The sequence below is a fragment of the Homo sapiens genome, chromosome 14, assembly GCF_000001405.40.
Source record: "Homo sapiens chromosome 14, GRCh38.p14 Primary Assembly".
Lineage (NCBI taxonomy): Eukaryota > Metazoa > Chordata > Mammalia > Primates > Hominidae > Homo > Homo sapiens.
In genome coordinates, this window is record NC_000014.9 from 101992102 (window position 1) to 102011156 (window position 19055).

Sequence of the window (19055 nt, forward strand, 5' to 3'; positions counted from 1 at the left end):
GATATAATATACTCTTAGTATATTTTTAGAACAAAAGGAAATCTCAAAAGACCATTTAGTCCCCAGTGTCACTTCTGAACAGAACCAGTGGCTTCATAAAAAAAGATGGCACAACTTCTGCTATTGCAGACTCTTCCAGAATTTAGTGATAAGACATTAACCGTTTTCTTAACTTTGAATATAAACTCAGATCTTTAAGGATTTTTTTTGAGGTAGTTAATTGCCTATGGCTAAAATCGTGGTGATGTTTCACCTAATGCTGGGCACTGTCCAGCTAATCAGAACCAAGCTATGGATATTGGCTTCTGCCCTTCAAGGAGTCTACGTACAATCCTTAGCATCATTCTCATCATGTTACTCCTGTTTTTAACCAGCCGTGTTTCTATTTGCATTGTTCTCTTGCTTATCTCCAAATTTAACAAACTAAAGCCAGCAGTCTCCTTTTTCCCTAGAGCCCATCCCCTCACTCTCGTTTAGCTGTTCTGCCCTCTCTTCTGGGTCTTCTTTCAGCACCTAAACGGGACCCCATGTCCCCTGCAATCTTCATAAGGAAGCTCCCTTCTCAGGCACTCATCCAGCCTCCTCCAGCACTGCTCTGTGTGATCGCCCATAGCCCCACCCTGCTGACTAGGGGGCTTCTCTGTCCTTGTCTCACCTCTTAACTGCAAGACTTGATGGAGGCTCCCTCCTGCGTGATGCTCTGGACTCTTCAGAACACCGTGCCTCCTGGTTCTCCTCCCACCTCAGTGGCTGGTCTCCTTTCTCGGTTCCTCTTTTGCCTTCCCCTTAAACTCCCTCTAAATGTTCTGTTCCCTCTCCACTCCTGTGCACTCTCATTGTGGTCTCATCTAGTCTTGTTGACTTTAAATGCCACCTGCAGGCTGACAGCTCTGTGTTCGTATCTCCAGCTGACCTTTCTCCCTACTCCAGGCTTGTCTGGGCAGCTACTAGCATGGCATCTCCACTTGGCTATCTCGGAGTCGCGTCACACTGAGCACCTCTTGAGCCCTGCCTCCCCAAGTTTGATCTTCCCTCAGTCTTTCACTTCTCATCCTTCAGCTCATTCAGGCCAAAAATCATGGTATTGTCCTTGATTCCCATTGTGTGTCTCTTGAAAATGAATGCTGAGCTGTTTCACTGGCACCACTCCGTACAAGGTACCATCACCTCTCACTTGGATTATTAATATTCCCTCCTATCTGTTCTCTCTGCCTTTGCCTCCCTAAAATCTGTTTTCAACACAGCAGCCAAAGCAAGTTTTAGATTCTAAGTCAATCCTGACACTCTTTTCGGAGCCCTTGAATGACTTCCTATCTCACTCATCATGAAAGTCAAAGCCCCAGTGGCTTGCTGGGCCCGTGTAATGTGTTGCTTATTATTTCTCTGACTTCAGCTCCTGCTGCTTCTCCCTTCACTGGCTCTGCCCCATCACACTGGAGTCTTGCTGGTCCTCAAACATGCCGGTAGACTCTTGCCCCTGCGCCTTCACATTTGTTGATCTCAACTCAGAATCCTTGATGGCAAATAATCACAACTTACCCCTCTCCTCCTGGTTTCTCGCAATTCTCCCCTTCTCAGCAAGGCCTTTCCTGACGTCATTACTGAAAATGCAGCCTTCCCCATGCTGTGCCCACACTCCCTCTCCTTCTCACTCTTGCTCCGTAGTTCTCTCTCACCACCTGACATTCTGTGTGTTTTGCTTATTCCCTAATCGCGTCTCTCCTCCCATAGAGTGTAAGTCCCTGTGAGCAGGGATTTTTATCTGCTTGTTGTACCTAGAACAGTGCCTGGCACATAACAGGCACTCAGATAGTTAAAATGAGCAAATGGCTTCGTGCACTTTTCAGCTGTTTTTGCATTGCCAAATTTCTCTGTTGTCATTAATGTTCTTGTATTGGTTTGATGAGTTAAATATAAGTAGGCTTTCTGGTTACTTGTGGCCAGGGTAAGTGGATGTTATCCCTTAAATGCCATTTTGGTCATGAGCTTTTCTTTCAGTTCATTTTAATTAAGTAAAAGGTGACACTTAGATTACCATTTTCATATACACTGCTTGCATTCATTTCGGCTTTGGTTGGCTAGGTGGGTGTACATTACGAATTGACTGAGGAAGAGAAATTCTATCGGAATGCTTTAACACGGATGCCTGATGGCCCTGTTGCCCTGGAAGAGTCGTATTCTGCTGTCATGGGCATTGTATCTGAAGTTGAACAGTATGTCAAGGTAAGAAACTCCTAATTTCATTCAAATGTGCATATGGTCTATTCTAGACACTTAAGAGTACAAGATATAAAGAACATGGAGCTAAAAGGTCTTGACTGTATGTATGGTTCACTAGATACTATTTGCTGTTTCAAAGCAGAGAGTAAATGATAGGATACATCTTTTTGAGTTTTAACCATGACGTTCAAGAATCTTTTTTGATATGAAAATTCTGAGAGTCTGAAGTGAGAATTTCTCTAATAGTGGTGAAAGACATGAACCTTCTTAATGGAATGTGAACATAAGAGGTGCCAGTATTCTACAAAATGAAAACTCAAACTATTATTTAACTGTGTTCTTCATTTGCAGGTTTGGCTTCAGTATCAGTGTTTATGGGATATGCAAGCTGAAAACATCTATAACAGACTTGGAGAAGATCTCAACAAATGGCAGGCTCTCCTGGTCCAAATAAGGAAGGCCAGAGGAACCTTTGACAATGCAGAAACCAAGAAAGAGTTTGGACCAGTAGTTATAGATTATGGCAAGGTGAGCCCTGCTGTCTGGTTGAAAGGTGTCACGGGTAGTGTAAAAGCAACATTTCTGTTAGACTGATATTCATTTGAAGGATAAACACGCCAGCAGGAAAGAGCTGATGATGTGTTGTGTGCTATTTCACCCTCAGGTACAATCTAAGGTGAACTTGAAATATGACTCTTGGCATAAGGAGGTTCTTAGCAAATTTGGGCAGATGCTAGGATCAAACATGACGGAATTCCATTCCCAGATCTCAAAGGTGAGGACATAGGATTCTGCCTCTGTAACCGGTCTACTGGTGAACCCCAGCTCTGTGATGAAATACTCCCCTCTCTCTGAACAGTCCCGCCAAGAGTTGGAGCAGCACTCAGTAGACACGGCCAGCACCTCCGATGCAGTGACCTTCATCACCTATGTGCAGTCTTTGAAACGGAAGATCAAGCAGTTTGAGAAGCAAGTTGAGGTGAGCTCTGTGCATATTTAAAAATTTTTGGCTGGGCGTGGTGGCTCACGCCTGTAATCCCAGCACTTTGGGAGGCCGAGGCGGGCGGATCACGAGGTCAGGAGATCGAGACCATCCTGGCTAACACGGTGAAATGCTGTCTCTACTAAAAATACAAAAAATTAGCCGGGTGTGGTGGCGGGTACCTGTGGTCCCAGCTACTCAGGAGGCTGAGGCAGGAGAATGGCATGAACCCGGGAGGCAGAGCTTGCAGTGAGCCGAAATTGTGCCACTGCATTCCAGCCTGGGCAACAGAGTGAGACTCCGTCTCAAAAAAAAAAAAAAAAATTACACTAGATCTCTAGTTTAATTTGGCTTCTATAGTATTTTGCATTCTAAGAGAATGACCTGACTCAACCCTTAAGGCACTCTTTTCTTAGTATGGCCCACAGATCATCTCTGTTACAACAGCCTGATGTGCTTGTTAAAACTTAGTGTAGGCCAGGCACGGTGGCTCATGCCTGTAATCCCAGAACTTTGGGAGGCCAAGGTGGGCAGATCACCTGAAGTCAGGAGTTTGAGACCAGCCTGGCCAACATAGTGAAACCCCATCTCTACAAAAAATATACAAAAAATTACCTGAGTGTGGTGGCATGTGCCTGTAGTCCCAGCTACTCGGGAGGCTGAGGCAGGAGAATCGCTTGAAGCTGGGAGGCGGAGGTTGCAGTGAGCTGAGATTGTGCCACTGCACTCCAGCCTGGGTGACAGAGCAAGACTCTATCTCAAAAAACTAAATAAATAATGAAAAACTCAGTGCAGATACTGGGCATCTAGGTTTTTCTTTTCTTTTCTTTTCTTTTTTTTTTTTGAGATGGAGTCTCGCTCTGTCACCCAGGTTGGGGTACAGTGGTGTGATCTCGGCTCACTGCAGCCTCTGCCTCCTAGGTTCAAGCGATTCTCCTGCCTCAGCCTCCCGAGTAGCTGGAATTACAGGCGCCCACCACCATGCCCGGCTAATTTTTGTATTTTTAGCAGAGACGGGGTTTCTCCTTGTTGGCCAGGGTGGTCTCGAACTCCTGGCCTCAAGTGATCTGCCCGCCTTGACCTCCCAAAGTGCTGGGATTACAGGCATGAGCCACCATGCCCGGCCAAGTATCCTTTTAATAACTTGGAATAAAGGGTGAAGCCCAGCTCCACCTTGCTTTGTATCCTGTCCGGGGCCATCCGGATGCAGTGCAGTGCAACACCCAGACCAGCTGCGGTGGGCTCTCAGAGGATGTTGCCCTCTGGCCACGATGTCTTAGGATGGATGGTTTTAGGAGAAGAGCACATGTGTTGATCTTCTGTGTTTTGTTTTGTTTGAGGCAGCATCTCACCTGTCACCCAGGCTGGAGTGCAGTGGCAGGATCCTAGCTCACTGCAGCCTCAATCTCCCGGGCTCAAACAATCCTCCCACCTCAGTCTCTTGAGTAGCTGGGACTACAGATACATGCCACCATGCCTGGCTAATTTTTTTCTTTTTAAGTAGAGATGAAGTCCTGCCATGTTGCCCAGGCTGGTCTTAAACTCCTGGACTCAAGTAATCCACCTGCCTCAGCCTCCCAAAGTGCTGGGATTACAGGCAAGAACCACTGTGTCTGGCCAGTCTTACGTGTTTTATAACTATAAAGTGCCTTCTCTTTCATGGGGCTCTAATTAATAATTTCTATCATTGTTATAGAAGAAAAAACTTGATTTATTTTTTAACTCTCAAAGCTCTACCGCAATGGCCAGCGCTTACTGGAAAAGCAAAGGTTCCAGTTCCCACCTTCCTGGCTTTATATTGACAACATCGAGGGAGAGTGGGGAGCCTTCAATGACATCATGCGGCGAAAGGACTCTGCCATTCAGCAGCAGGTGGCAAACCTGCAAATGAAGATTGTCCAGGAGGATCGGGCCGTGGAAAGCCGCACCACCGACCTGCTGACTGACTGGGAGAAGACCAAGCCTGTCACGGTGAGTCCCGCCAGGTGGGGACGCAGGAGACTCCTCACCCAGCAGTGTGATTTGGTGACTTTCTTTCAAGCCTAAAAGGCCTTGCTGTGACTGAGCTTTCTAGTATTGAAGACTCTTTTCCTTTTTGTAGTTAAAAAAGCAGATGGAGATAGCAAATGTGAAAATATGAAGCCCAGCTTAGACCTCTTTTTACTCAGAATGGCATTCAGTAGCTGGTTTTAAGGATTAAAGTTTTTCTGTTCTTAGATCATTCTCTTACGTAGATATGCGCAGAAATTAGAGTTTAATTTCCTGTAGACAAAGGCCAAGCTTTCCACTGCTGCTGCTAGTTAATTTAATTTTGGTTGGATGGTCTCTGTTTTTGCCAGTGCTGCCAGTGGATTGTGGGGAGGCAGGTTCTGTTGTCTTCGTCATTGTAGCCATTTAAACCTTCCACCACCCAGAAACTGCCACATCCACTTTTCTTCATGCATTGAAGTATTTATTGAGCACCGACTGTGTTCCAGGCCTTGTTCTAGGTCATTGAGATATAGCAGTGAGTGAAAAGGACAAGAGCCTCCTACCTTCATGGAATCACGCTCCGTGGGAGAGAGAAAAAAAATGAGCAAGAAGAGACAGGAAAGGCAGGTGGTGGTGCTGCTGCGACAGAAGCAGATGAGAGGGCGCTGGCTCAGTGGCTACTGCTGTGCCTGGGAGGGTGGTGTGGAAGGGGGCTGGCAACTCATGCTGATAGCAGAGGTGATGTAGATAACAGTGTGTGTGGTTACTGGAAGTGGAATTCAAAATTTTATTTATTTTATTTTTTGCTCCCTTTGTTATTTTTATTTGTTATTTTCTAAGAGTGCATGAAATTATCTGGAGAGCATATAAATACAAATGCCTGGACCCCTCTCCCCTCTATAAACGCTGATCCGATAACACAAACGCCTGGACCCCTCTCCCCTCTATAGGCGCTGATCCGATAATACAAACGCCTGGACCCCTCTCCCCTCTATAAACGCTGATCCGATAACACAAACGCCTGGACCCCTCTCCCCTCTATAAGAGCTGATCCGATAATACAAACGCCTGGACCCCTCTCCCCTCTATAAACGCTGATCTGATAATACAAACGCCTGGACCCCTCTCCCCTTTATAAATGCTGATCCAATTGGGTTATGGTGGGTCCCAGGCGATTGGTTTGTTTTCTTTTTAATTTTCAAATTTTTATTTATTTAGGGAATATAAGCATAGAAAAGACAAATGGAAAAGATGTGAACATATTTTGAATATTAATCTGTTTTTCTCATTTGGGGATGTAAGTTTCCCACAGTAGGCCTAATGACAATGACAGATTTAGCCTTCCACAAAGATCTGCTGGTTAATTGTCCCATCCTGCCTGTAACCGTTTCCGTGCTGCTGGGCCCCTGCAGGTTCTACTGTGTGCTTAATTTTGATTTGATGGTCTCTGCTTTTGCCAGTGCTGCTGTTACTGCTAGGTTATGAGTGCTTGCTCCAGTGGAGGAGTTGAATATTAATCAATAGCAAGATTCTGGTCATCAAAATTTGAATATTTCTCATCACTTTACCTTGGTGCCAGTAATGTGTTAGAGTTAAAACTTTTTCTTTTTTTTTTTTTTTTTTTTGAGACGGAGTCTTGCTCTGTCTCCCAGGCTGGAGTGCAGTGGCGCAATCTCCGCTCACTGCAAGCTCTGCCTCCTGGCTTCATGCCATTCTCCTGCCTCAGCCTCCCGAGTAGCTGGGACTACAGGCTCCCGCCACCACGCCTGGCTAATTGTTTGTATTTTTTAGTAGAGACGGGGTTTCAATGTGTTAGCCAGGATGGTCTCAATCTCCTGACCTCATGATCTGCCCACCTTGGCCTCCCAAAGTGCTGGGATTATAGGCGTGAGCCACCGCACCTGGCCAAAAATTTTTTTTGAGGCAGAGTCTCACTGTGTCGCCCAGGCTGGAGTGCAGTGACATGGTCATAGCTCACTGAAGCCTCCGTTTCCTGGGATCAAGCGTTGTAGCTGGGACTACAGGCGTGCCCCACCATACCTAGCTTACTGTTTATTTTTAGTAGAGATGAAGTCCCAGGCTGGTCGCAAACTCCTGAACTCAAGCAGTCTCCCCGCCTTCACCTCCCAAAGTGCTAGGATTACAGGCGTTAGCCACCACGTCCAGCCTAAGTAAAATGTTTTTTGATATCTTGCCTTAGTGGAAAACAGTAATATTTTGTACACCTCTCAACAGTTATTAAAATGAAAAGGAAGTATGCAAATGGTAGTGTTAATGCTGAAGTAGAGTCTGTTTCTGGTGATTTCTCATTCCTCTCTTGGCTGGGTAACTGATGTAACAACTGTGTTCTCTGGGGAAGTTGTGGCTGGCAGGCCCCGGAGGTTTGTCCTCTTCTATCACTGGGGATGTGCACTTGAGGCCGAGTCTGTGCTGCCTCTTCTCCCGCCTTCCAGGGTACTGAATAAGACAATGGCTAAATCAAGAGATGCTCCACCATTCTATTTTATTTATGTAAAATGTTCATGTAAAAATTAAATTCGCTACTGTACACACATCCAAAGTGGACATCTTGTTGAATGTTTCCTTATGAAGATGTGTGCAAAGAATCCGAAACGTCCAGAAGCCCTGCAGGCTCTGTGCACCATTTTAAAGCCTAAATGCTCATCTCTCCTGAGACATTGTGCTCCAATTCTCTGTGCTCTGACTGCTTTCAGGGCAACCTTCGCCCAGAAGAGGCACTTCAGGCTCTCACCATATATGAGGGGAAGTTTGGTAGGCTGAAGGACGACAGAGAGAAGTGTGCAAAGGCCAAGGAGGCGCTGGAATTGACAGATACTGGGCTTCTCAGTGGCAGTGAAGAGCGCGTGCAGGTATGAACCACTGGGGAGTGGGTGGAGAATCCCGCTCCCCACCCGGACTCTGCCATTGACTTTGTTCATCCTCAGGGCCCTGCCAGATTCTGGGGTGATTTCTATTTCCAAAGTCAACTGCTTTACTATTCTCAATCGCAGGTGGCCTTAGAAGAATTACAGGACCTCAAAGGCGTTTGGTCAGAACTTTCTAAGGTTTGGGAGCAAATCGATCAGATGAAGGAGCAACCCTGGGTTTCAGTACAGCCTCGAAAGGTATATCATGAAATCGGTGTTTGTGTACGTCTATTTTAACAGTTACAGACTTTATTTAGGAACGTGACAAGCCAAGTTTGTGTATTTGTATTGTGAGTTCATAAGATGTCATTTAATGTCCTGCATGTCATTTACATTATTCGTCCAAAATACTGTAAAACTTATTTTGAAACCTTTTTTTTTTTTTTTTTTGAGACGGAGTTTCGCTCTTGTTGCCCAGGCTGGAGTGCAATGGCATGATCTCGGCTCACTGCAACCTCCGCCTCCCGGGTTCAAGCGATTCTCCTGCCTCAGCCTCCCTAGTAGCTGGGATTACAGGCATGTGCCACCACGCCCGGCTAATTTTGTATTTTTAGTAGAGACAGGGTTTCTCCATATTGGTCAGGCTGGTCTCGAACTCCCGACCTCAAGTGATCTGCTCGCCCGGCCTCCCAAAGTGCTGGGATTACAGGCATGAGCCACCGCGCCTGGCCTGAAACCATTTTTTAAAGAAATATTTCACCATTTAAAGAAATGTTGGCAAGCTAAATAGCATCTTATGTTTCTCTCGACAGCTTCGACAAAATTTGGATGCCCTCCTGAACCAGCTGAAAAGCTTCCCTGCCCGGTTGCGACAGTATGCGTCCTATGAGTTTGTTCAGAGGCTTCTGAAAGGTTACATGAAGGTAGGTGGCCAGTATCGCACGGTGATGAGTGTCCATTAGAAACGCACCTGCACAGATCACTTTGTTTACTTTCTCCACAGATAAATATGCTGGTGATTGAACTGAAATCCGAAGCACTTAAAGACCGCCATTGGAAACAGCTCATGAAAAGGCTTCACGTTAATTGGGTTGTTTCTGAGCTAACCCTTGGCCAAATCTGGGATGTTGACTTGCAGAAAAATGAAGCGATTGTCAAGGATGTACTGCTTGTGGCACAAGGGGAGATGGCTTTGGAAGAATTTTTGAAGCAGGCGAGTAATAGGACTGAACGGCTGCTTTACGTTGTGTTTCGGGCTGTTACATAGATCTGAGCTATGTAAAAATGGAGCCTTGTCATCTGTGGTCCTTTTGGTTCTTATAATGCTGGGTCCCTTGTGCAGGTAGTGAATGCCCACATATTGATAACATGCATCTTTCTGGTTTGAATTCAGATAAGAGAAGTGTGGAATACTTATGAACTAGACTTGGTTAATTATCAGAACAAGTGCCGCTTGATCCGTGGCTGGGATGACCTCTTCAACAAGGTCAAAGAACACATCAACAGCGTCTCGGCCATGAAGCTCTCTCCGTATTACAAGGTGCTGTTGCTGGGGAAGCTTTCCCTCCCCACCAGTGGTCTCCCACGCTTTCACTGTAATGCCTTTTCACTGACAGTTACTAGGTACCTGTTTTTTATTGTATTTTTTGAGACAGGGTCTCACTCTGTCTCCCACGCTGGAGTGCAGTGGCACCATCACAGCTCACTGCTGCAGCCTTGACTTCCTGGGCTCAAGTGATCTTCCCACCTCAGCCTCCAGGTAGCTGGGACCACAGGCACATGCCACCATGCTGGGCTAGCTTTTTATTTTTTGTAGAGACAGCATCTCACTATATTGCCCAGGCTGGTCTCGAACTCCTGGGCTTAAGCAGTCCTTCTGCACTGGCCTCCTAAAGTGCCGGGATTACAGGCGTGAGTCACCACAGCCAGTCAATACTTGTTTTTTTGTTTGTTTGCTTGCTTTTTTGTTTTTTTTTTTTCTTTTTTTGAGATGGAGTCTCGCTCTGTCACCCAGGCTGGAGTGCAATGGCACGATCTCGGCTCACTGCAACCTCTGCCTCCCGGGTTGAAGTGATTCTCCCGCCTCAGCCTCCCAAGTAGCTGGGATTACAGCTACCTGCCACCATGCCTGGCTAATTTTTGTATTTTTGGTTGAGACAGGGTTTCACCATGTTTGCCAGGCTGGTCTCAAACTTCTGACTTCAAGTGATCCACCCGCCTCGGCCTCCCAAAATGCTGGGATTACAGGCGTGAGCCACCACACCCGTCTACTTGTTGTTTAAAATGTGAATCAGATTACTTCATGAGATCCTGATCTGCGCTTTTTCAGTGAGTTTTGGCATATCTGTGAGTAGAAGGGTCAGCAGTTTACCTCTCCCTCCTGTCTGCCCACCAGGTTTTTGAAGAGGATGCTCTCAGCTGGGAAGATAAGCTGAACAGGATCATGGCTCTCTTTGATGTGTGGATTGATGTGCAGAGGCGGTGGGTCTACCTGGAAGGTATCTTCACAGGCAGTGCAGATATCAAGCACCTGCTGCCAGTGGAAACCCAGCGGTTTCAGAGGTATGGCCTCCAGCCAGAGAGCCAAATTTGCCAGCGGCTAGTGACTACTCTACACAAAGGCTGACGCATGTTTTAATTTCATTTGTAGCATCAGCACTGAGTTTTTGGCTCTAATGAAAAAAGTGTCCAAGTCTCCCCTTGTTATGGATGTTCTGAACATCCAGGGAGTACAGAGGTCTCTGGAAAGATTGGCAGACCTGCTAGGAAAGATCCAGAAAGCATTGGGAGAATATCTGGAAAGAGAGCGGTCATCTTTCCCCAGGTAAGATCCTTGCTTTGACTTGGCCTGGAGTCAAGTTGAATTTCAGTTGTGCATTTTTCCAGTGATCTTCTTTCCCTTCTGGGCCTGTGTTTGTTAGTTTTGACATCAAGGATTTTGTTAGCCAATAATACATATAATGATTACCATTCCCTTCCCTGTCATGCAGTGATTACTGATTGTACCTACCTTGGATTTTTTAAATTGTCCTACCTTGGATTTCTTAAATCCTTAATTTAACTATCATCTACCCTCCAAGGCAGCTTGCATTACATCTCTTCAGTGTTTATCTCTGGCAGTTTTCTTTTTTTTTTTTTTGAGATGGAGTCTTGCTCTGTCGCCCAGGCTGGAGCACGTGGTGCCATCTCGGCTCACTGCAACCTCCTCCTCCCAGGTTCAAGTGATTCTCTTTCCTCAGCCTCCTGAGTAACTGGGATTACAGGTGCCCACCACCACACCCGGCTAATTTTTATATTTTTAGTAGAGATGGGTTTTCGCCATGTTGGTCAGACTTGTCTAGAACTTCTGACCTTAGGTGAGCCGCTCACCTAAGTCACCTAAGTGCTAGGATTACAGGCATGAGCCACTGCACCCAGCCTCTGACAGTTTTCTAAGTGGCATCTTTTCCTTTCTGAATAGTTTGCTTAGGCTGAATTGGACAGATTCTTTTAAAAATGAGTTAATAGGCCGGGCGTGGTGGCTCACGCCTGTAATCCCAGCACTTTGGGAGGCCAAGGTGGGCAGATCACCTGAGGTCAGTTTAGGACCAGCCTGGACAACATGGTGAAACCCTGTCTCTACAAAAATACAAAAATTAGCCAGGCATGATGGCAGCTGCCTATAATCCCAGGTACTCAGGAGGCTGTGGCTAGAGAATCTCTTGAATCCGGGAGGCGGAGGTTGCAGTGAGCCACGATTGCGCCGCTGCACTCCAGCTGGGGTGACAGAGCAAGACTCCATCTCAAAAAATAAAAAAGAGTTAATAAAGTAACTTACTGGCCCGGCGCGGTGGCTCACGCCTGTAATCCCAGCACTTTGGGTGGCCGAGGCGGGCGGATCACGAGGTCAGGAGATCGAGACCATCCTGGCTAACATGGTGAAACCCCGTCTCTACTAAAAATACAAAAAAAAATTAGCCGGGCGTGGTGGTGGGCGCCTGTAGTCCCAGCTACTTAGGAGGCTCAGGCAGGAGAATGGCGTGAACCCGGGAGGCGGAGCTTGCAGTGAGCCGAGATCGTGCCACTGCACTCCAGCCTGGGCGACAGAGCAAGACTCCGTCTCAAAAATAAATAAATAAATAAATAAATAAAGTAACTTACTAAGGCAAATGACATGAAATTCTTTGCATTCATTGAATTCCTCTTCAAGATCTTGTTAGGTAAGTGTGTATCTTTTGCCAAGGGCTAGAAGAAATTCTGATGTGATCTGAATTTGGGCTGGAGATTGCCACCACCAGACACATGTTCTTTCCCTTCCTGCAGTTTGAAATCTTACCTTGATTCACCTTATATGTGTATATAATATTTTTGCAACTTGAGTGTTATTTTAATTTTAGGTTCTATTTTGTGGGTGATGAAGATTTGCTTGAAATCATTGGAAACAGCAAGAATGTCGCTAAATTACAGAAACACTTCAAGAAGATGTTTGCTGGAGTTTCGAGCATCATCCTGAACGAGGATAACTCTGTTGTTTTGGGTATTTCATCTCGGGAAGGAGAGGAGGTAAATTTATGTTCGTAACTTTTAAAACTTCTCTCACATTTTTGCATACCTCATTTCTTAAAATTGTATTTATTTCAGGTTATGTTTAAAACTCCTGTGTCAATTACTGAACATCCCAAAATCAATGAGTGGCTCACATTGGTAGAAAAGGAGATGAGAGTCACCCTGGCCAAACTGCTTGCTGAGTCTGTTACGGAAGTTGAGATTTTTGGTAAAGCAACTTCAATTGACCCAAATACCTACATCACTTGGATTGATAAATACCAGGTAATCTATAGTAGAAGTGAGTGGGCTCGTGGTGAAAACGCAGACCAATCTTTAAAATGATCCTTTGGGATCTTGTTTCTGTGTCTTTCAGGCCCAGCTTGTGGTTTTGTCAGCCCAGATAGCCTGGTCTGAGAACGTGGAGACCGCACTGAGCAGCATGGGCGGAGGTGGAGATGCCGCGCCCTTGCACTCTGTGCTGAGCAATGTGGAGGTCACCCTCAATGTGTTAGCAGACTCTGTCCTCATGGAGCAGCCCCCACTCCGAAGGCGGAAGCTAGAACACTTGGTTAGTCTCACACCTGACTCCTTCCTTACCAGTTAGACTCTTACACCCTCAACCACACAGTTAAATGGAAATCATGCTTGAAAAAGGTTTCAGGTAGTATCAAGGAGAACAGTGGATGGTGTATGGATATCCTCTGAGGGTGGGCATTTGGCTCCCTGTCCCTGTTGAAAGGTAATCTCAGGGGCATGCAGGGGTTACGCGACATCACGGTAGAGAGGAAGGGATCAACCTTGGTCAGGATCTCTTGCTCTTTCCTGTCATCTCCCCAGAGAGGTGGCCACAGCAGTGCTAAGCTGCACGGCACGGGCAGTGCTTGCTGCGAGCCCCATGGCGGCACGTGGCAGACTCCTAGGATAGACGTCAGAAAGCTAGTCTTCCATGATGTTTTAGAATGGTTGCAGAATTTTAAAATATTTAAAGCCAGGTGTTTCTGTTTCTTTGTTTTTGCTGCAGCTCTGGGTTCTGTGTAATACCATCTCATGAGTAACATTTCTCTCATCTCTGAAAGTGAATTTGCCTTTTGGAACATTTACTGAAAGCCATTGTAACTGGACCTAGAACCTCAATTTCAGTTTAACAGTCCACAAACCCGGAGAATGCACTGTATTGCTTTAGTGTAGATGAACTTTTAAAGTGACTCTCTTTCTTCAGATTACAGAGTTGGTTCACCAGAGAGATGTTACAAGGTCCTTGATCAAAAGCAAGATTGACAACGCCAAATCTTTTGAATGGCTCAGCCAGATGCGATTTTACTTTGACCCTAAGCAAACTGATGTGTTACAGCAGTTGTCAATTCAAATGGCAAATGCCAAATTTAACTATGGCTTTGAGTACCTGGGTGTTCAGGACAAACTGGTCCAGACCCCCCTCACTGACCGCTGCTATTTGACAATGACACAAGCCTTGGAGGCCAGGCTGGGGGGTTCCCCATTTGGTAAGTTCTTCCACAGATCTGGACAGATGGAATCATATATTAAAATGTTTAAAGATAAAGCTAATGATTTGAATGTACTTCTTTTTGAGATGGAGTGTCTGTCGCCCAGGCTGGAGCACAGTGGTGCGATCTTGGCTCACTGCAAGCTCCACCTCCCGGGTTCAAGCCATTCTCCTGCCTCAGCCTCCTGAGTAGCTGGGATTACAGGCACACGCCATCACACCAGGCTAATTTTTGTATTTTTCATAGAGACAGGGTTTCACCATGTTGGCCAGGCTGGTCTCGAACTCCTGACCTGGTGACCCCCTCACCTTGGCCTCCCAAAGTGCTGGGATTACAGGCATGAGTCACCACGCCCGGCCTGAATGTACTTCTTAATTATGTGGTGTGTACATTCTAAAATCTTAAATTTGTTTGCATTTATTACTACTTTGATTTTTTTTTTTTTGAGATGGAGTCTTGCTCTGTCTCCCAGGCTGGAGTTCAGTGGTGCAACCTTGGCTCATTGCAACCTCTGCCTCCCGGGTTCAAGCGATCTCCTGCCTCAGTCTCCCAAGTAGCTGGGACTACAGGCGCCCACCAACATGCCCGGCTAATTTTTGTATTTTTAGTAGAGATGGAGTTTCACCATGTTAGCCAGGCTGGTCTCGAACTCCTGACCTCAGGTGATCTGCCTGCCTCGGCCTCCCGAAGTGCTGGGATTACAGGCATGAGCCACCCTACCTGGCCACTACTTGGATTTTTTAAATGAGTTGCTTTTTGTAGTTCTTTTAAAGCTAAAGATATGTTTTCAGTTAGGTAATGGACTCAAGCACTCTGTTGCTTTTCTTTAAACAGGACCTGCTGGAACTGGGAAAACAGAGTCTGTCAAAGCTCTTGGCCATCAGCTTGGACGGTTTGTTTTAGTTTTCAACTGTGATGAAACCTTTGATTTCCAGGTGAGACACTTTATGGGATCCACCTAAAATGTAATGCCCTGCAGGGATCATTTGGGGAATATCAAGCTCCGTACCTCTCTCAAAGCCATTGGTCTTACAGCTCAGCGTGGTTTATATGGCCTCCTGAGTCCTGTAGTAGGGATAGGTGTTATTTTGAAGTGTTTGAGGTGTCCAGCATACATGCATTGAAGTTGACTTCAGTTTCATGTTTTCAAAGTTAGATCTTTAGTGTAATATTTTTCTAAAATGTCAGTTTTTTGACGACATTTTTAGTGCCTGTGTCTTGGAATAAGCACATTATGGAAGAGGTTTATCTTTAATCAACAAAAAGTGATAGAATAAAAACAGTAGCTTTGTCATTGAGATTTTTTTGGCACAGAAGGAAAGAAGGTGTTATACTTTACATCTGTCATGATAACGGCTGTTGTTCATGAAGTAACTGCTGTGTGTAGGCACTGAGCCCCTCACCTGAGGCGTGACTCTAATTTATCCTTCACAGCCACCGTGGGAGTAGGTAGTAGTATTCCCATTTCACAGATGAGGAGATGTGCATTTCAAAAAGATGTGACTTGCCCAAGGCCAAGCAGATTGTCAGAGTCAGGGTTTGAGCCCCGTGAAGCCAGCACTGAGGCAGGTGGTATGGTAGTCTGCTCAGGCCACCATATCCAAGCAGCACAGGCTGTGTGGCTTAACAATAGAAATGTATTTCCTCACAGTTCTGGAGGCTGGGGAGTCCAAGATCAAGGTGCCAGCGGGGTTCAGTTCCCAGTGAGGGCCCTCTTCCTGGCTTGCACGTGGCTATTTTGTCGCCACAAGGCCTTTCCTCGGGATACATGCAGGGAGAGCGCTCTGGTTCCTCCTCCTCTTCTTAGAAGGGCACCAGTCCTGTGGATCAGCGGCCCCAACCCTTATGGCCTCATTTAACCTTAGTTATGTCCTTACACGCTCTTTCGCTAAAGACAAACCCACTAGGGTTAGGGCATCAACATACTGATTTGTGGCAAGGGAGAGGGGAGACAATTGAGGGCACAGCAGGTGGTTTTAGCGCCTTTCTTCCTCTCCTTTCCAGGCAATGGGCCGGATCTTTGTGGGCCTTTGCCAGGTGGGTGCCTGGGGCTGCTTTGACGAGTTCAACCGCCTGGAGGAGCGGATGCTCTCGGCTGTGTCCCAGCAGGTGCAGTGCATACAGGAAGCACTGCGTGAACATTCCAACCCCAACTACGACAAGAGTAAGACACCTCTTCTTCAAAAATTACTTAGAGAATGTAGAGGGAAATTCCCTAGTGAACTAATTTTCTACCTCTTGGATTAGAAATAAGCAAGAATTTAGCTCACAGGAGCTCACTGTTACAGGCAGTGTAGTGAGCTGTGGTTAAAGACGGAAGGTAAGAAACCCAGGCCAGGCGTAGTGGCTCACGTGTGTAATCCCAGCACTTTGGGAGGCTGAGGCGGACAGATCACTTGAGGTCAGGAGTTCAAGACCAGTCTGGCCAACGTGGTGAAACCCATCTCTACTGAAAATATAAAAATTAGCCTGACATGGTGGTGCACGCCTATAATCCCAGCTATTCGGAAGGCTGAGGCAGGGAGAGTCCCTTGAACCCAGGAGGCAGAGGTTGTAGTGAACTGAGATCATGCCACTGCACTCCAGCCTAGGCAACAGAGCAAAACTGTTCCCCCAAAAAAAGAAACCCAGGACTGTATTGCATCACAGCTTTTAGTCCTCATTCTAGGGCAGCAGCATAGAGGTTTCTATGTCCTAGGACAACCAAAAACCTGAGCAGTCCTTCCTCAGCCAGCCAGATGCCCCCGTGCTCCCTTAGAGCTTGTGTGTTCCCTCCATGGTCTTTGCCACGGGATGAGCGTGTCCTCTGGTGCGGGCCCTTGGTGCCCCCTCTTCATTCTCACATCGTCAGAGAGCCAGCCTCCCCAGCCACCTGTCTGGCCAGTGTTCTGCCATCTGTCTTTGGAAACAAGCCCTTTATCACGATAGGAGCAGCTGTCGGAGAGGCCCCAGGGACCACTTCCCTTCCCAGTTCAACACAAAGTCCCAGCATGTGGGGTCAGGGAGGGTGGGATGCTGAAGGAGGCAAACATTTGGGTATTGGGTAAGTGTGAAATTCTGTCTTATGTGCACAGCGTAGCTTTTAATGTTTCCTTTTATTGCATAATAACAACTTGCCTTATGGAGAATTCCCCAGACCTCCTAAATAAAACAAAAGGAGTGTGGAGGAAAGCAATACTTGCCTTTGTGATCAGTATTCTCTTAAGGCGAGAATACACTTTGTTCCAAAGTGGCTCAGAGGTGCTTGGAGGTTTGGGTTTTTTTTATTTTGATGATGCTAGGAGCAGGTAATTCCCATGATGTAAGCCAGTCAGTGTCGCGGCATTTATTCCTTTTTTTTTTTTTTGCACAATTTGTTGGACTGCATCTCTATCTCGAGTTCTCCATGACACTCAGGTGTGGTGTTGCCCAAATAAAATAGTGGTCTCTGCCTCTGGTGGCTTGACCTGGGACACGTGCACATGAGGTACATGGGAATGGGTCCACCTGGGCTGGGAGAATGTGGCTGGTGGTCCCCGAAGAAAGGCCAAAGAGCAGCCCCCGAGGAAGCGTCTACTTCAGCTCCCTGGGAGAACGAGAGCTTTGTCTGTTGTTTTAGAGACATTTTAGAATGCATTTTGTTTTTTTTTTTTAACATTTCTAGTCTTAACGCTATCATCTCATTCTCAGCCTCTGCCCCCATTACTTGTGAGCTGCTGAACAAACAAGTCAAGGTGAGCCCGGACATGGCCATCTTCATCACCATGAACCCTGGCTACGCGGGCCGGTCTAACCTTCCTGACAACTTGAAGAAGCTGTTCCGGAGCTTGGCCATGACCAAGCCCGACCGGCAGTTAATCGCCCAGGTCATGCTGTACTCACAGGGTTTCCGCACTGCTGAAGTGCTTGCCAACAAAATCGTCCCGTTTTTTAAGTAAGTAGCCTAGAATTCTTCATAATCATGTTTCTTGCATATGTTAAATGTGTCCATTTAACCTTAAAATTTTTATATGTAATGATGGTACGTCTTTCAAAATATCCATCTCTGGTTTCTTGACACTTGACCCTATTATTGCTTAAAGTATACTGTTATTAAAGATAGCCTTTTTTTCTTCTTTTCTAGACTATGCGATGAGCAGCTCTCTTCCCAAAGCCATTATGACTTCGGTCTTCGGGCTTTGAAGAGTGTGCTGGTGAGTGCAGGCAATGTGAAGAGAGAGAGAATCCAGAAGATAAAGAGGGAGAAAGAGGAACGAGGGGAAGCAGTTGATGAAGGAGAAATTGCTGAAAATCTCCCTGAACAAGAGGTTCGTTACAAACGTTTTGATCACTCAAACCTTATACGTTATTTAAATTTACCTTTTTAACATTTAAGCCATGACTTGTGAGTTCTTCTTGCAGTTCACATGTCTTGGGATGGCTGAAATAGACTGTAATGTTGACCCAGTGAGTCGAGTGCACGAATGTGGGCGAGTGGTGCTCGCACCCTTTGTTCACCAACAGTTACTGATCACGCACCTCCTGGGGATGCAGCGGGCAGTACTTGAGCCATGCTGCGCTGCTCACAGCCCAGCCCTCTCCCCGTAGATTCTGATACAGAGCGTCTGTGAGACGATGGTGCCAAAGCTGGTGGCAGAGGACATCCCGCTGCTCTTCAGCCTCCTGTCGGACGTGTTCCCTGGAGTCCAGTATCACAGGGGTGAGATGACTGCCCTTCGAGAGGAGCTGAAGAAAGTGTGTCAGGAGATGTATTTGACATATGGAGATGGAGAAGAAGTTGGTGGAATGTGGGTTGAAAAGGTAACTTGGATTGTTTCACTGGCCACTGCCCTCACAGACCCTGCTGGCTTTAGTGTCTGGTAATGACAACCGTGGGCCCTTCGATGAAACTGTCCACAAAGGCTGTGGAGGTGCATAATATGCTTTATGAAGATTTGCCCAAGGCCTATTTGAATTTTTGTTGTTGTTGTTTAAATGAAGAGGAAACAATACTTAACCTGAAAA

At 46.3% G+C, this 19055-nt stretch overlaps 1 protein-coding gene across 1 annotated transcript in view, besides 2 other annotated features; it reads left to right on the plus strand.

Moving 5' to 3' along the window:
• The window catches only part of DYNC1H1 (dynein cytoplasmic 1 heavy chain 1), a 91871-nt gene that overhangs the window by 27529 nt on the left and 45287 nt on the right, over nucleotides 1–19055 (plus strand). The window contains exons 12-32 of the mRNA NM_001376.5: nucleotides 2083–2223; nucleotides 2572–2748; nucleotides 2885–2995; nucleotides 3080–3199; nucleotides 4934–5173; nucleotides 7888–8043; nucleotides 8185–8298; nucleotides 8853–8963; nucleotides 9044–9253; nucleotides 9434–9580; nucleotides 10436–10602; nucleotides 10691–10864; nucleotides 12417–12582; nucleotides 12661–12849; nucleotides 12941–13135; nucleotides 13787–14069; nucleotides 14907–15007; nucleotides 16077–16236; nucleotides 17742–17985; nucleotides 18175–18358; nucleotides 18639–18851. Of these exons, the coding sequence (NP_001367.2) occupies nucleotides 2083–2223; nucleotides 2572–2748; nucleotides 2885–2995; nucleotides 3080–3199; nucleotides 4934–5173; nucleotides 7888–8043; nucleotides 8185–8298; nucleotides 8853–8963; nucleotides 9044–9253; nucleotides 9434–9580; nucleotides 10436–10602; nucleotides 10691–10864; nucleotides 12417–12582; nucleotides 12661–12849; nucleotides 12941–13135; nucleotides 13787–14069; nucleotides 14907–15007; nucleotides 16077–16236; nucleotides 17742–17985; nucleotides 18175–18358; nucleotides 18639–18851 (3603 nt within the window). The remainder of the gene's footprint in view (nucleotides 1–2082; nucleotides 2224–2571; nucleotides 2749–2884; nucleotides 2996–3079; nucleotides 3200–4933; nucleotides 5174–7887; nucleotides 8044–8184; nucleotides 8299–8852; nucleotides 8964–9043; nucleotides 9254–9433; nucleotides 9581–10435; nucleotides 10603–10690; nucleotides 10865–12416; nucleotides 12583–12660; nucleotides 12850–12940; nucleotides 13136–13786; nucleotides 14070–14906; nucleotides 15008–16076; nucleotides 16237–17741; nucleotides 17986–18174; nucleotides 18359–18638; nucleotides 18852–19055) is intronic.
• Nucleotides 883–1022: an enhancer, noted in NCBI's record as "active region_9064". NCBI's record gives its function as "activates an Ori minimal core promoter by ATAC-STARR-seq in GM12878 lymphoblastoid cells {active_cell/tissue: GM12878}" and the evidence as "EXISTENCE:reporter gene assay evidence [ECO:0000049][PMID:35858748]".
• Nucleotides 15792–16339: an enhancer, noted in NCBI's record as "NANOG hESC enhancer chr14:102474230-102474777 (GRCh37/hg19 assembly coordinates)". NCBI's record gives its function as "activates a minimal SCP1, AML or CMV promoter by ChIP-STARR-seq in naive H9 embryonic stem cells {active_cell/tissue: H9 hESC(naive)}" and the evidence as "EXISTENCE:reporter gene assay evidence [ECO:0000049][PMID:30033119]".